This window comes from Homo sapiens, chromosome 13, assembly GCF_000001405.40.
Source record: "Homo sapiens chromosome 13, GRCh38.p14 Primary Assembly".
In the NCBI taxonomy this organism is placed as follows: Eukaryota; Metazoa; Chordata; class Mammalia; order Primates; family Hominidae; genus Homo; species Homo sapiens.
Window position 1 is genome coordinate 67844630 of NC_000013.11, and position 14154 is coordinate 67858783.

Below are 14154 nucleotides of genomic sequence, written 5' to 3' on the forward strand. Positions count from 1 at the left end.
TTAAAGTAGATCCTAAAATTAGTGCCTTCTGAAGCATAGAAGTATACACAAATACCTGCTAGAGTTACTCCTTCATTCTGAGCCCGAAAATGGTCTGACACAAAAATTTTTTGGAAATGAATCACTCACTCAAAAGCCATTTGGCACAAAGACAAGGAAGAAAATAAATAAATGAATATGTATGTATGTGTGTCTGCGTTTCTGTGTTCACATATAAATGCATATTCATTTATATATTAATATATGTAGGTGTATCTGCATATAACAACAGGAAGGAAAGAAAAGACCTTCTGCTATTGGAATTATCAGACACATGTAAAATAAAAATTCATAAGAGTGAAGTAATATAGTCAATGTAATAATATAAATAACTCCAGACTTAGAAATCTATACACAGAAAAATCATCCTCAAAAACCAGGAGAAATTTGAAATATTTTCATAAAACAAAAGTTGATAGGTTGTACTACTGGCAAAAAAAAAAAAAACAAACAAAAGAAATTGTAACAGATATGTTTTAGGCAATAAAATACAAATCACAGAATGAATACCTGATATGTAAGAGATGAATAATACAGGCTCACACCTGTAATTACAGCACTTTGGGAGGCTGAGGTGGGTGGATCATGAAGTCAAGAGATCAAGACCATCCTGGCCAACATGGTGAAACACCGTCTCTACTAAAAATACAAAAATTAGCTGGGTACGGTGGCGGATGCATGTAGTCCCAGCTACTTGGGAGGCTGAGGCAGCAGAATTGCTTGAACCCCGGGAGGTGGAGGTTGCAGTGAGCCAAGATCGCGCCACCATGCTCCAGCCTGGGTGACAGAGGGAGACTCCATCAAAAACATAAAAAACAAATAATACAAAGTAAATACTTAGATCTATATAAATAAACATTGTTCACTAAAGTAATGCTGTTAATTACTTCTGATTTTAAAGAAAAAATAGATAAACTTTAAAAAAAAAAAGCTAGCAGAAGGCAAGAAATAACTAAAATCAGAGCAGAACTGAAGGAAATAGAGACACAAAAAACCCTTCAAAAAAATTAATGAATCCAGGAGCTGGTTTTTTGAAAATTTCAACAAAATTGATAGACCGTTAGCAAGACTAATAAAGAAGAAAAGAGAGAAGAATCAAATAGACACAATAAAAAATTATAAAGGGGATATCACCACCAATCCCACAGAAATACAAACTACCATCAGAGAATACTACAAACACCTCTATGCAAATAAACTAGAAAATCTAGAAGAAATGGATAAATTCCTCGACACATACACTCTCCCAAGACTAAACCAGGAAGAAGTTGAATCTCTGAATAGACCAATAACAGGCTCTGAAATTGAGGCAATAATCAATAGCTTACCAACCAAAAAAAGTCCAGGACCAGATGGATTCACAGCCGAATTCTACCAGAGGTACAAGGAGGAGCTGGTACCATTCCTTCTGAAACTATTCCAATCAATAGAAAAAGAGGGAATCCTCCCTAACTCATTTTATGAGGCCAGCATCATCCTGATACCAAAGCTGGGCAGAGACACAACCAAAAAAGAGAATTTTAGACCAATATCCTTGATGAACATTGATGCAAAAATCCTCAATAAAATACTGGCAAACCGAATCCAGCAGCACATCAAAAAGCTTATCCACCGTGATCAATTGGGCTTCATCCCTGGGATGCAAGGCTGGTTCAACATTCGCAAATCAATAAATGTAATCCAGCATATAAACAGAACCAAAGACAAAAACCACATGATTATCTCAATAGATGCAGAAAAGGCCTTTGACAAAATTCAACAACCCTTCAGGCTAAAAACTCTCAATAAATTAGGTATTGATGGGATGTATCTCAAAATAATAAAAGCTATCTATGACAAACCCACAGCCAATATCATACTGAATAGGCAAAAACTGGAAGCATTCCCTTTGAAAACTGGCACAAGACAGGGATGCCCTCTCACACTGCTCCTATTCAACATAGTGTTGGAAGTTCTGGCCAGGGCATTTAGGCAGGAGAAGGAAATAAAGGGTATTCAATTAGGAAAAGAGGAAGTCAAATTGTCCTTGTTTGCAGATGACATGATTGTATATCTAGAAAACACCATTGTATCAGCCCAAAATCTCCTTAAGCTGTTAAACAACTTCAGCAAAGTCTCAGGATACAAAATCAATGTACAAAAATCACAACCATTCTTATACACCAATAACAGACAAACAGAGAGCCAAATCATGAGTGAACTCCCATTCACAATTGCTTCAAAGAGAATAAAATACCTGGGAATCCAACTTACAAGGGATGTGAAGGACCTCTTCAAGGAGAACTACAAACCACTGCTCAAGGAAATAAAAGAGGATACAAACAAATGGAAGAACATTCCATGCTTATGGGTAGGAAGAATCAATATTGTGAAAATGGCCATACTGCCCAAGGTAATTTATAGATTCAATGCCATCCCCATCAAGCTACCAATGACTTTCTTCACAGAATTGGAAGAAACTACTTTAAAGTTCATATGGAACCAAAAAAGAGCCCTCATCACCAAGTCAATCCTAAGCCAAAAGAGCAAAGCCGGAGGCATCACACTACCTAACTTCAAACTATACTACAAGGCTACAGTAACCAAAACAGCATGGTACTGGTACCAAAACAGAGATATAGATCAATGGAACAGAACAGAGCCCTCAGAAATAATGCTGCATATCTACAACTATCTGATCTTTGACAAACCTGACAAAAACAAGCAATGGGGAAAGAATTCCCTATTTAATAAATGGTGCTGGGAAAACTGGCTAGCCATATGTAGAAAGCTGAAACTGGATCCCTTCCTTACACCTTATGCAAAAATTAATTCAAGATGGATTAAAGACTTACATGTTAGACCTAAAACCATAAAAACCCTAGAAGAAAACCTAGGCAATACCATTCAGGACATAGGCATGGGCAAGAACTTCATGTCTAAAACACCAAAACAATGGCAACAAAAGCCAAAATTGACAAATGGGATCTAATTAAACTAAAGAGCTTCTGCACAGCAAAAGAAACTACTATCAAGGTGAACAGGCAACATACAAAATGGGAGAAAATTTTCACAACCTACTCATCTGACAAAGGGCTAATATCCAGAATCTACAATGAACTCAAACAAATTTACAAGAAAACAAACAACCCCATCAAAAAGTGGGCGAAGGATATGAACAGACACTTCTCCAAAGAAGACATTTATGCGCCAAAAAACACATGAAAAAATGCTCACATCGCTGGCCATCAGAGAAATGCAAATCAAAACCACAATGAGATACCATCTCACACCAGTTAGAATGGCGATCATTAAAAAGTCAGGAAACAACAGGTGCTGGAGAGGATGTGGAGAAATAGGAACACTTTTACACTGTTGGTGGGACTGTAAACTAGTTTAACCATTGTGGAAGTCAGTGTGTCGATTCCTCAGGGATCTAGAACTAGAAATACCATTTGACCCAGCCATCCCATTACTGGGTATATACCCAAAGGATTATAAATCATGCTGCTATAAAGACACATGCACACGTATGTTTATTGCGGCACTATTCACAATAGCAAAGACTTGGAACCAACCCAGATGTCCAACAATGATAGACTGGATTAAGAAAATGTGGCACATATACACCATGGAATACTATGCAGCCATAAAAAATGATGAGTTCATGTCCTTTGTAGGGACATGGATGAAACTGGAAACCATCATTCTCAGCAAACTATCGCAAGGACAAAAAACCAAACACCACATGTTCTCACTCATAGGTGGGAACTGAACAATGAGAACACTTGGACACAGGAAGGGGAACATCACACTCCGGGGCCTGTTGTGGGGTTGAGGGAGAGGGGAGGGATAGCATTAGCAGATATACCTAATGTTAAATGACGAGTTAATGGGTGCAGCACACCAACATGGCACATGTATACATATGTAACAAACCTGCATATTGTGCACATGTACCCTAAAACTTAAAAGTGTAATAATAATTAAAAAAATTTAAAAAATAAATAAATAAATCCGAGCTTCACAACTTAAAAAAAAAACAAAACAATAAAACATCACACCTTCCTGAGACCAGAAGAAGAGGCAATTATTCCAAATTACTTTACAGGATTATAAAAACTAGAAATCAAAATCTAATAATGGCAATAGTAGTAAGATTGTTAATAGGCCTACCTCAAGTATCTTAACATATTAGCAAAGAAAAATCCAGCTATATGGAAAATTGTGTTTATTTCCAATTAATAGAATTTAGTTTTCTATAAACTAATCTTGGGTCAATTTATTAGTCCATTTTTAAAATGCTGATAAAGACATACCCAAGATGGGGCAATTTACAGAAAAAAGAGATTTATTTACAGTTCCACATGGCCTGAATAGCCTCACAATCATGGCAGAAAGCAAAGAGGAGCAAGTCACATCTTACACACATGGTAGCAGGCAAAGAGAGGGCTTGTGCAGAGAAACCCCCATTTTTAAAACCATCAGATCTCGTGAGACCCATCCACTATCATGAGAAGAGCATAGGAAAGACCTGCTTCCATGATTCAATCATCCCCCACTGGGTCCCTTCCAGTGGGAGCTACAAGATGAGACTTGGGTGGAGACACAGAGCCAAACCATATCAGTCAATTATATATTGGGTTTAATATCAATTATTTTAATCAACTGCACTAAAAAAATAACATTTAAAAAGCCCACAAAATTATTAATATTGATGGTGTAATTCCCTAGGAAACTGACTCTAAAATGGAAATGTGCTGCAATTCAAGCTTAATGGCAGCCTTTATCAAATCCTTCATAGTTGTCCTGGGTTATACCTCATGGTCATTTGATGCTGGTTGCTTCCAGAAGCTCTCTGAAGCTGAGGCATCCATGAAAAAGCTATAAGCTGCAGTTGCCTACTGACAGCCCCCTCAGATTTGATGTTTTCATCCGGGATGCCCATAAACTCCACACAGCATCTTTTTCTATCACTTCCATTTCTAATGGCACAGTGTCTGAAATTTATGGATCAAGCTTTGGAGCTGCTTTCACTTTAGCCTGGTCCTGATGCAGAGTCCTTTCCTGCTCTGTATCTCACACAAACCCGGCAGCTTTTCAAATCACCCAATGTATGGTGTGGAGCAGCGTCCCCAGATGTTGCGTATGCTGCCTCCAGTGCTTGAATAGGCTACCAGGCACTACTGCTTCTTCATGGTGTAAAATGTAAAATATATTAATTTTTCCTTTGGAAGAGTATTTCAACATGCCTCTGACCACTGGTCTCTTGATAATTTAACTGATTTTGTAGGCACATCAGCATAGGGCTTATTTTACACCCTCTGAGGCTTGGGTCATAATAAGGTCTCTAATTTAGCAGTCCTTTCTTATTCATTTGGACCAATTAACATGATATGAACAGTAAAGTGGATCAATGTGATTTTCAGAAGAACCAGGCAGTGCAGCTCTCTATAGACTTTCTTAATACAAATGGTAAGAGAGTAAGCATACCCCTGATGTTAATATATAGCATATACTATTTTCCATTCTATGTGAACGTAAACTGCTTGTGATCCTTTTTTCTGATAAGGAGATAAAAGCAAAGATAAGCAAGCAAGCCAGAAAACAAACAAAAAACACCTTCAACAAATGAATGGCCACATACCGTTTACCTGAGGTTGTATTTGTTAGTATACTCTGGCAAAGGCACTGCATCTGGCATCGTGGCTGCGATTGGGGATGTTATTTCGTTATGACTGTGATAATCTACCATTATTCTCCGGGATCTGTCTTGAATATTAATTGAGCGTATGTCCAAAACTATAATGCCTACATTCTTTCATGGGCGTCCAGTCTTTGGGCATCCCCAGGCCACATTGGAAGAAGAATAATTGTTTTGGGCAACACATAAAATATGATAGCACTAGTGATAGCTGATGAGCTAAAAAAAATATATAGCAAAAAAAGTCTCATAATGTTTTAAGATATTTTATGAATTTATGTTGGGCTGCATTCAAAACCTTCCTGGGCCACACGTGGCCTACAGGCCATATGTTGGACGAGCTTGCTTTATATACTTAAAAATGGTAATAAATTTTATGCTCTTAACAAAAAATATATATTTGATTTTTTTATTGTTGTTTTGTTTTTAATTTACTTATTTGGCTGAGGCTGGGGGCAGAATTATTACAGGCTTATACTTTCCCTTTGCCATGCTGATATCATGATCTCATGCCATAGGCCAAAAACCCTGTGCCAGCTACCAATTATGTCTGTTTTGATTATACATTCATAAACCAGGAAACTGATCACTGGATGGATTCAAGAACTAGTGGAGACAGCAGGAGTCAAACCTGGGACAAGACTTCGCTTGTTGCATGTATTCCAAATCCCCCGATCTAATAAGAGTGCCATTATGATTCTCCATATCCTTCATTATTAATGGCCCCGTATCCAAGACACATCCAAGTATTTCAAGATTTCCCTTTCCTCAGTACATATTTATCTTTGATTGGTGCTGCAGGACATTTCAACCTGGGATTCCAACACTCGAAGAGTCTGGAGATTCTGGGTCAAAAAACATTCTCAGTACTAAAATCTAGGAAAAAGGTGCTGACTTTTTTTTACAGTGACATCCCTCAGCCTCCTGGTCATCCATTTTTGCTTTCATTAAATGATTATAAATGAGTAGGTCCCTTTTGCTTAATGCCCAGTCATTTTTCCCCTGAGGTGCCAATTTCTATAATTAGGGATGCCGTTTCTTTAATTTGCTACAAGTGAGGCTCCCCATGTGCCCTTTTGACCTTGCCACATATCACAATAACTGCATCCAGTTGACTGTCAATAATCAAGTACCATTGTTTCAGAGTCCTACCGTCCTGCTGGCTGTCAATAAGCCTAGTTCCCTAATGGCTTCTCATACTGTCAAAAGTGGCTTACACAGAGGGCCACCATCAAACATTTCCTGGTGCCCCCTCACTAACATATTCCTAGCACACTTGGTAAATGGCATATCATGTGATATTCCCCTGCAACATAATCTGACACATTCTAAGCCCTTATATAAAATTGCCATTCCAGTAAGCCTATTTCTGAGTATTTTAACCCATTGCTTTACAGTGTGCAACGGCAATACTGACATTTCAATGTCACTTAGAGTAGTCCATTGATTTTTCCCTGTTTCTACAAGTCATTCTAGTAGCAAGTTTACCTCATGTCCTGGAGTTTTTTACAAGTAGCTAAATAGTTTATTTCAGGTCAGTGCTCCAAAATCAATAAATTTTCTCATCATCAAAGGACTTCAAAATTCAGTCCCTCACACTCTTGTTTTCTAGTGGTACATGCTAGCTAGGTCTTTCGGATCCTTTGATTTTTTTTTTTAAGTCTCTTTTCTCTCTCTCGCTCTTTTTTTTTTTTCATATCTTCAGCAGGTGTAACTTAATTCTATAGTAGTAGTGGGAAGTGGGAGCAGATCCTGGTTGGAGAAGGAGTATTACAGTCCTGAAACAGAATTTTGTAACATCTCAAACAAGAAATGTGTGCCAATGCAAAATGTGGATGAGTGGACCATTTCTGCAGGACCAGTAAGTTCAGAGGAATCTGAATATACAAAATTTCAAAAAAAAAAAATCAAACCAGATATTCCTATCACATGGATTAAGGTCACATTATTTCCCAGCCAAAAATCAGACCTTCATACAGCACGCCAGCCTTCTTTGGAGCTCAACTATTCTGACAATGAAATCCTCTGCTTGGTCCTCAGCTTTGTTTGCATTTCCACTGCTGCACATGGGAGCCTCTTTGCAAACTGTCTATAAGACTGGCCTTTGAGGATGGATGCAATGGCTCATGCCTGTAATCTCAGCACTTTGGGAGGCCCAGGTGGGAGAATCACTTGAGCCCAGGAATTTGAAACCAGCCTGGGTAACATAGTGAGACCCTGTCTCTACAAAATGTTAAAAAATTAGCTGGGAGTGGTGGTGCATGCCTATAGTTCCAGTTACTCGGGGGTGGGGGGACTGAGGTGGGAGGATCAATTGAGCCCAAGAGGTCAAGGCTGCAGTGAGCCATGATCCTGCCACTGCAATCTAGCTTGCGGGACAAAGTGAGACACTGCCTCAAAATAAGGAAAAAAAGACTGGCTTTTGTAATTTAAAACCAAGATTTTGACTCTCTCATTCTCTAAATCTACAAATAATAATAATAAATTAATAATGACTCGCACTTTTTACGAAATTACTATATGTTAAGCATTTCTGTAAGCACTTATTTTTTTTTTTTTTTTTGAGATGGAGTCTCGCTCTGTCGCCCAGGGTGGAGTGCAGTGGTGTGATCTCGGCTCATTGCAACGTCCGCCTCCCGGGTTCAAGCGATTCTCCTGCCTCAGCCTCCCGAGTAGCTGGGACTACAAGCACGTGCCACCATGCCCAGCTAATTTTTTGTATTCTTAGTAGAGACGGGATTTTGCTTTGTTGTCCAGGCTGGTCTCCAACTCCTGAGCTCAGGTGATCCGCCCACTTCAGCCTCCCAAAGTGCTGGGATTACAGGCATGAGCCACCATGCCCTGCCTCTAAGTACTTTTAATGTAGAAAAAGTTATTCTGACAAAAATGAGATTATTCTATTGTGTACATCCTGGTCATGTTCCAGAGAATAACTCTGATTGATCAGCTTACACCTACTGCTCATCTCTGGACTAAGCAACTATGTCCAGAGTTTCATCAGGATGTAACTGTTCCTTGTTGTTGCCACGTGATTGGACTTTGAGTGTGAGGTGGAGAGGACAAAGAGTCTTTAAAGGAAAAGATTGATAATGGATAAATGTAATTTTCAAAGTCCAATTATTTATTAATAAGAGAAGAACAAAGGGCAAATGGGATTGCAAATAATTATGTTTACACATTTTAACTACTCAAATTTTAGATTGGTGCAAAGGTAATTGCAGTTTCTGCCATTAAAGTAATGACCAAAATGCAATTACTTTTGCACCAACCTAATAAATATATTCTAATTTGAATTCATTAAGAGTCTAATTATTCCGAAGCAATAGGGTTAAATAATACTACACACATTAAAGAGGAATCACAAATTCTGAGAACACTTATATTTTTAACACAAAAAACTACCATTTTAATGCAGTTATTAATAATAAATAAAGGACATACATTCCTTAGAATATATTTTCTAAAATATCCTAATTGGTAACCTTGTTTTCAGTGAGTAAGCATCAAGAATTATATATTTTCATTAGTGAGTCTACAAACACACAAACACACAGAGGCATGCACAAATACAGACTTTTTCACAATTTTAACTTTGTTCACCAATTCAGAATTCAGATTTAAGAATGTTTGAGTGTTTTTCATGGAATCTTCAACGTATATTTATTTATAAACCAAACATTAGAACATTTGAAGTACTAAAGGATTCTGCCAATTTGGAAAGACTTTGAATCTTTCTATGTCATTATTGATTAGAACAAACATATGTGCAGCTTCTAAAATTTTACCTTCTTCCTTCATAATCCTCATTTATGTATATATAATATGGTTCTGATATTTATACATAAACTTGATTAGCTAATGCAAATGATCATTGGATATGGCTTTGAAATTAAAAAGTAATTATATTACTTATTACTTTTCTATCTATAGTAGTTCTATTGTGACATTTTGATACTAATATCATTTCAAGAAAAATACAAATGAAAATTTGTGGCTATTAAATGTAGCCAATATATTTTAGGTTTCTGTTGAGTTATTTCTTCGATCTGTTAACTGGAAGCAGTAGACACACTGAGTTGTATAACACTGAACACTATTGGTCAATTCATTAATCTTGATAAATGATAGAATAGCACATTCTTCTCTCCTTTTCTTTTTATACCTGTATCTCTATATATACAGATATACACCAAGACATACATGAACACACATACAGAGAATACTTGGTGCAATGAGACTTTTAAACTGTAATATACATATTATAACTTCCTCAATCTATATCAACTACTGCCTTGAAAAGGAATGAAGTTTAATTCATTTACTGTAGATCATCTTAGAATGCAAACAAGTGAAGCATATGGCCCCATCAATGTGAGTTACTTTCTTTAACTGTTATTAATAATAAGTAAATGATATATATCTTCAGTTCCATGAGAAATAACTCAATGAAGTCATGCAGGCAGTAAGGCAGCCATTGTACTAACCCTTCAAGAATTTAGGACAATAATATGAGTAGAGGACACACATAAACCAACAAAATTCAGCTTTGCTTCTGTTTTGTAAATGAAGTTCAAAAATACAATTTTGAAATTTAGGAGAGATAGTAACTATGTTAAAATATGTGGACATTTGACCACATCACCTAGTGCCCTATTTTCTAAGCTTCCAGCATTGAACCGAAAGTGCTAAAGTGAATCAGATGAAATACCTTGATGTCAGTCAAAGGGAATAGCCTGATTGCTCAGCCATCCTTTACAATCTCCCATTGAACCAAGGAGAGGTGAAACGATGTATATAGCAAAGTCATGAAGATTGATGGCGCCCGCTGCTTCCAAATGTACCCTATCTGCATGCAAACCACTTGACACATGAACTGATAGAAAACAAAGAGTGTTTGCCCAGGAAAAGTGCTTCAGCAAGCTTAATTTCCATAGCCATTTGCACAGCAAAAGCAAGATCTAATAGGTCCCAGAGAAATCAGCAAAGCCATGATAAGAATTCAAAGCCACAAACTAAATAAAAAGAGATTATTAGCTACATTGCAGTAGGCAAACAGTAAAGACTTAAGTGATCAATACTTGACAAGACACATGCCACAAGCTTCATGTATAGGTCAGTCTCACACACCGTTTTTTAAATAAATCGACTGACTTTTGGACAAGGCACATAAAATGTCACTTTTTATCTCTCAGTTGATATTTTCCTCCAAGAGGGAAAAAACTTATCTATTCACCTCCCTAAGAGATTTGATCGAAAAGATAGTCACTCCTGATATAAGGTTTAAAGGGGAAAACTGCAATCAAGTGGAAATTTTTGTCAGTACCTTAATCTCTGATTTGTAGAAGGTTTTGCTTTGGGATATTTGGTATGTCTGAGGATTGCCACCAAAGAGCCCTTCTGTTCTTTAATGGCTGCACTAAATCTTAACAAACGTGAGCATGAAAACTATTGTGCTGCACTCGTGAGACATATATCAAAGTTATATTTTTTAAAGCTTGGGAAGGCAGTTGAATCATGCATGCTCTTTATGGTGCTCTGATCAGGCTGATAAAGGCAGTTCAGCTTCAATAAATGCTTTTTAAGTGAATGTTTTGGAAAGTGAATAGGAAATTCAAAGCTCAAACTGTTGCCAAACTGCTCCCACAGCACTTTGATCACTTTGTTTCTGACATTTCGTTGAAAATGTCTTGTTTTTATTAAAATGTTGGCATCTAGAGACCGAGAAAGTTAACTGTAGTCACCAAAAATATAATATACAGTAAATCATGGGATGACATGACTTATTAAGTACTTTGTACACATTCCTTAAAAAGAAAAATATTTCCCTGTGGGGTCACACACAGCATTGCACTTGTCTGGGAAAAAGTTCATATTGTTAAAAGAAAAACAAGTACAGAAGATAAATCAAATACTAGCACTTTGCCTCAGGCAAAAGGATAAGAAGTTATACAACTCTGCTATCAAAAAATTAGTAATTTTATTATATAAACATTTGAAAAAGTATAGAGACAAATGTTGAAATAAGCCTGATGCATTTGTATGCTACCTTTAAATTATGATCACAGAATGTATCTTTAACTAGAAGGACAGAGAGGATATTATGACCCTTTCATATTTTACATGCTGGAAGAATGTTTCAATAATTAGGGAATGCAGATTTCTCTGATCACAAATGTCACAGTTTAAACTGTGTGACTTCTGCAATTGAGGTGTTGAGTTAATCTGAAGAGTAGGGTATATGTGCAAACCAAAAATAGTAACTAGAAAATTACTCAAATATAGACACAAACATTAGTATTAAATCTATAGGATGTTCTTAATATATTTGACATACATAAAAGGCAAAGCATAACATTCTATGCTGATGTTGCTAGCAAAATAATAATGATGATCATGACTTGAAGAATAAGCAGTACATTGCTTTCTTCCTTGTTCTAGTTAAAAATCTAATCTCTCCAACATTTGCTTCAATTTTACCAGCTGTAATTTTTAATACCTCTTTCCAAAATTTTCATTTCATTATCTTGTTAACTAATGATATCCCTTTGAGCCACTACATGAAGTTGTGATAATTTTCATAGTTTTCATGTACTCTGCAGTATCAGGGAACATAAAGTAAAATGATAGTTCTGAAAAACTGAGAAAAGAAGTCAGTGAATAGAAATTAAACTCCACATCAAACTACCAAGAAGTACCAATAATAGGAGATATACATATATACATATGCAGGTATATACATACACATGCATATGTTTTATATATACATATGTAGTTATATATACACACACATGTTTTATATATACATATATACACACACCCATGCATCACTTAACAATGGGAACACATTTTGAGAAATGTGTCATTAGACAATTTCATCACTGTGCAAACATCATGGAATGTACTTTCACAAACCTAGAGGAAATAGCCTACTATACACCTAGGTAATATGGTATAGCTTACTGCTTCTAGGCTACAAACCTGTACAGTATGTTACTGTTATGAATACCAAGGCGAGTGTAAGTCAATGTATGTATTTGTGTATCTAAATATATCTAAACATAGAAAAAGTACAGTCAAAAATGGCATCATAAACATGCAACCACTGTTCTTGGCTGACTGCAATGTCATTATGTGGTACATGAATGTATGTAGAGCTTTCCACCCAGAGAATTAGAGCATTATTACTAAACACAGACCTGGATGTTTAAGTCAATATATTGATATGTGTCACTATTTCAAAAACTTAGATTTTTTTGATTAAATAATTATTGAACCAGAGATTTGATTGAAGATTCATAAAGCCAGGTCTCTCTTTAATAATAGTGAGTGAGTAATTTGGGTCATGGTCTGCCTGGAGATAAACTCGTGCTGTTGGCAGGGCATGGCAGGAGCCAGACCGGCCACACCAACTGTGAGGGAGCTGGGTGAGGCCTACTGCTACCGGCTTTCCCCCACTTCCCTGGCGACAGAGGCAGCCACATTTCCCTCTGAACCCCATTGGCTCAAGAACCACCCCTCCATCCCGCACAGTGACCGTGGCAAGCCCCACCCAAGGATAGTCTGAGCTCAGATCCCCCTAACCCCGCCCCCACCTGATACTATTTCTCTACTGCCCAGTACCTGAACACAGAAGACATAAACTCTTGGGAATTTTCTGACCTCGCCCATCGTCTGAGAAACCCGAATGCTTATCCTGGCCATCTTGGGGCAAGCTTATATCCCCCTTCCACTAACGCAGCTGGTGCTCTCTTAAAAACGTCACCTCCTGGCTGGAAGCCAACGAACTCAGGACGTTACAGCATCTCGTAACAGAATAACCCTGCTCCAAGGAAGGAGAAAAATAATGGTGAGTGAGTAACGTGGAACAAACCTCACTCAGGATTGCTGCTGAACAGCAACAGCAATAGTAATCTCCCTGAATAAGTGAAGGCACAGGCAAGTTAAGAAGATAACAAATAATTACCAGACAAGGAGCCAGGAAAGGCTCAAAACCAGGGAGTGAGCCTGGCAATAGAGACTCCTGAAGCTATTTAATTATGGAGGTGGCAGCTGAAAGTTAGGAGGTAGAGTGGAGCATTGATAGCCTTCTAGGAAGGTGGGGAGAAGGATTTGATTCCATGTCTTGCCAAGGAAGGATAGCCTGATGAACCCTATCACAGTGGCTGGAGATACTGAAGCTCTGAATTCTATGAGAAAGGTTAATTCAGAATAATCAGAGACTGCAGTGCACCTTCAAATCATTCTAATCTTAGACATTGCGTTAGGATGATGCTGGAGTGATTGTGCCCTCTATCTCCTTGGAAGAAAGAAAAAAAAAATCCCCAGAGGGTGATATTATTATAATTTTCAAAATATTTCTAAAACAATTTTCTAAATATAACTTCCACACACGAACAAACATAGCTAGGTACAAATAAATGCAGGTAGACAAC

The 14154-nt window shown here is 37.3% G+C and overlaps 1 long non-coding RNA gene across 2 annotated transcripts in view, besides 1 other annotated feature; it reads right to left on the reverse strand.

The window, feature by feature from the left end:
• LOC105370251 (uncharacterized) overlaps positions 1-13525 on the reverse strand; it is a 74385-nt gene extending 60860 nt beyond the window's left edge. For both annotated transcript variants that reach the window (XR_942050.2, XR_942049.3), the window contains exon 1: positions 13343-13525. This is a non-coding gene — a long non-coding RNA (uncharacterized LOC105370251). The remainder of the gene's footprint in view (positions 1-13342) is intronic.
• Positions 10356-11765: an enhancer, noted in NCBI's record as "VISTA enhancer hs575". NCBI's record gives its function as "enhancer in: midbrain (mesencephalon)[7/8]" and the evidence as "EXISTENCE:transgenic organism evidence [ECO:0001131][PMID:17130149]".
• Positions 13526-14154: the final 629 nt, after the last annotated feature.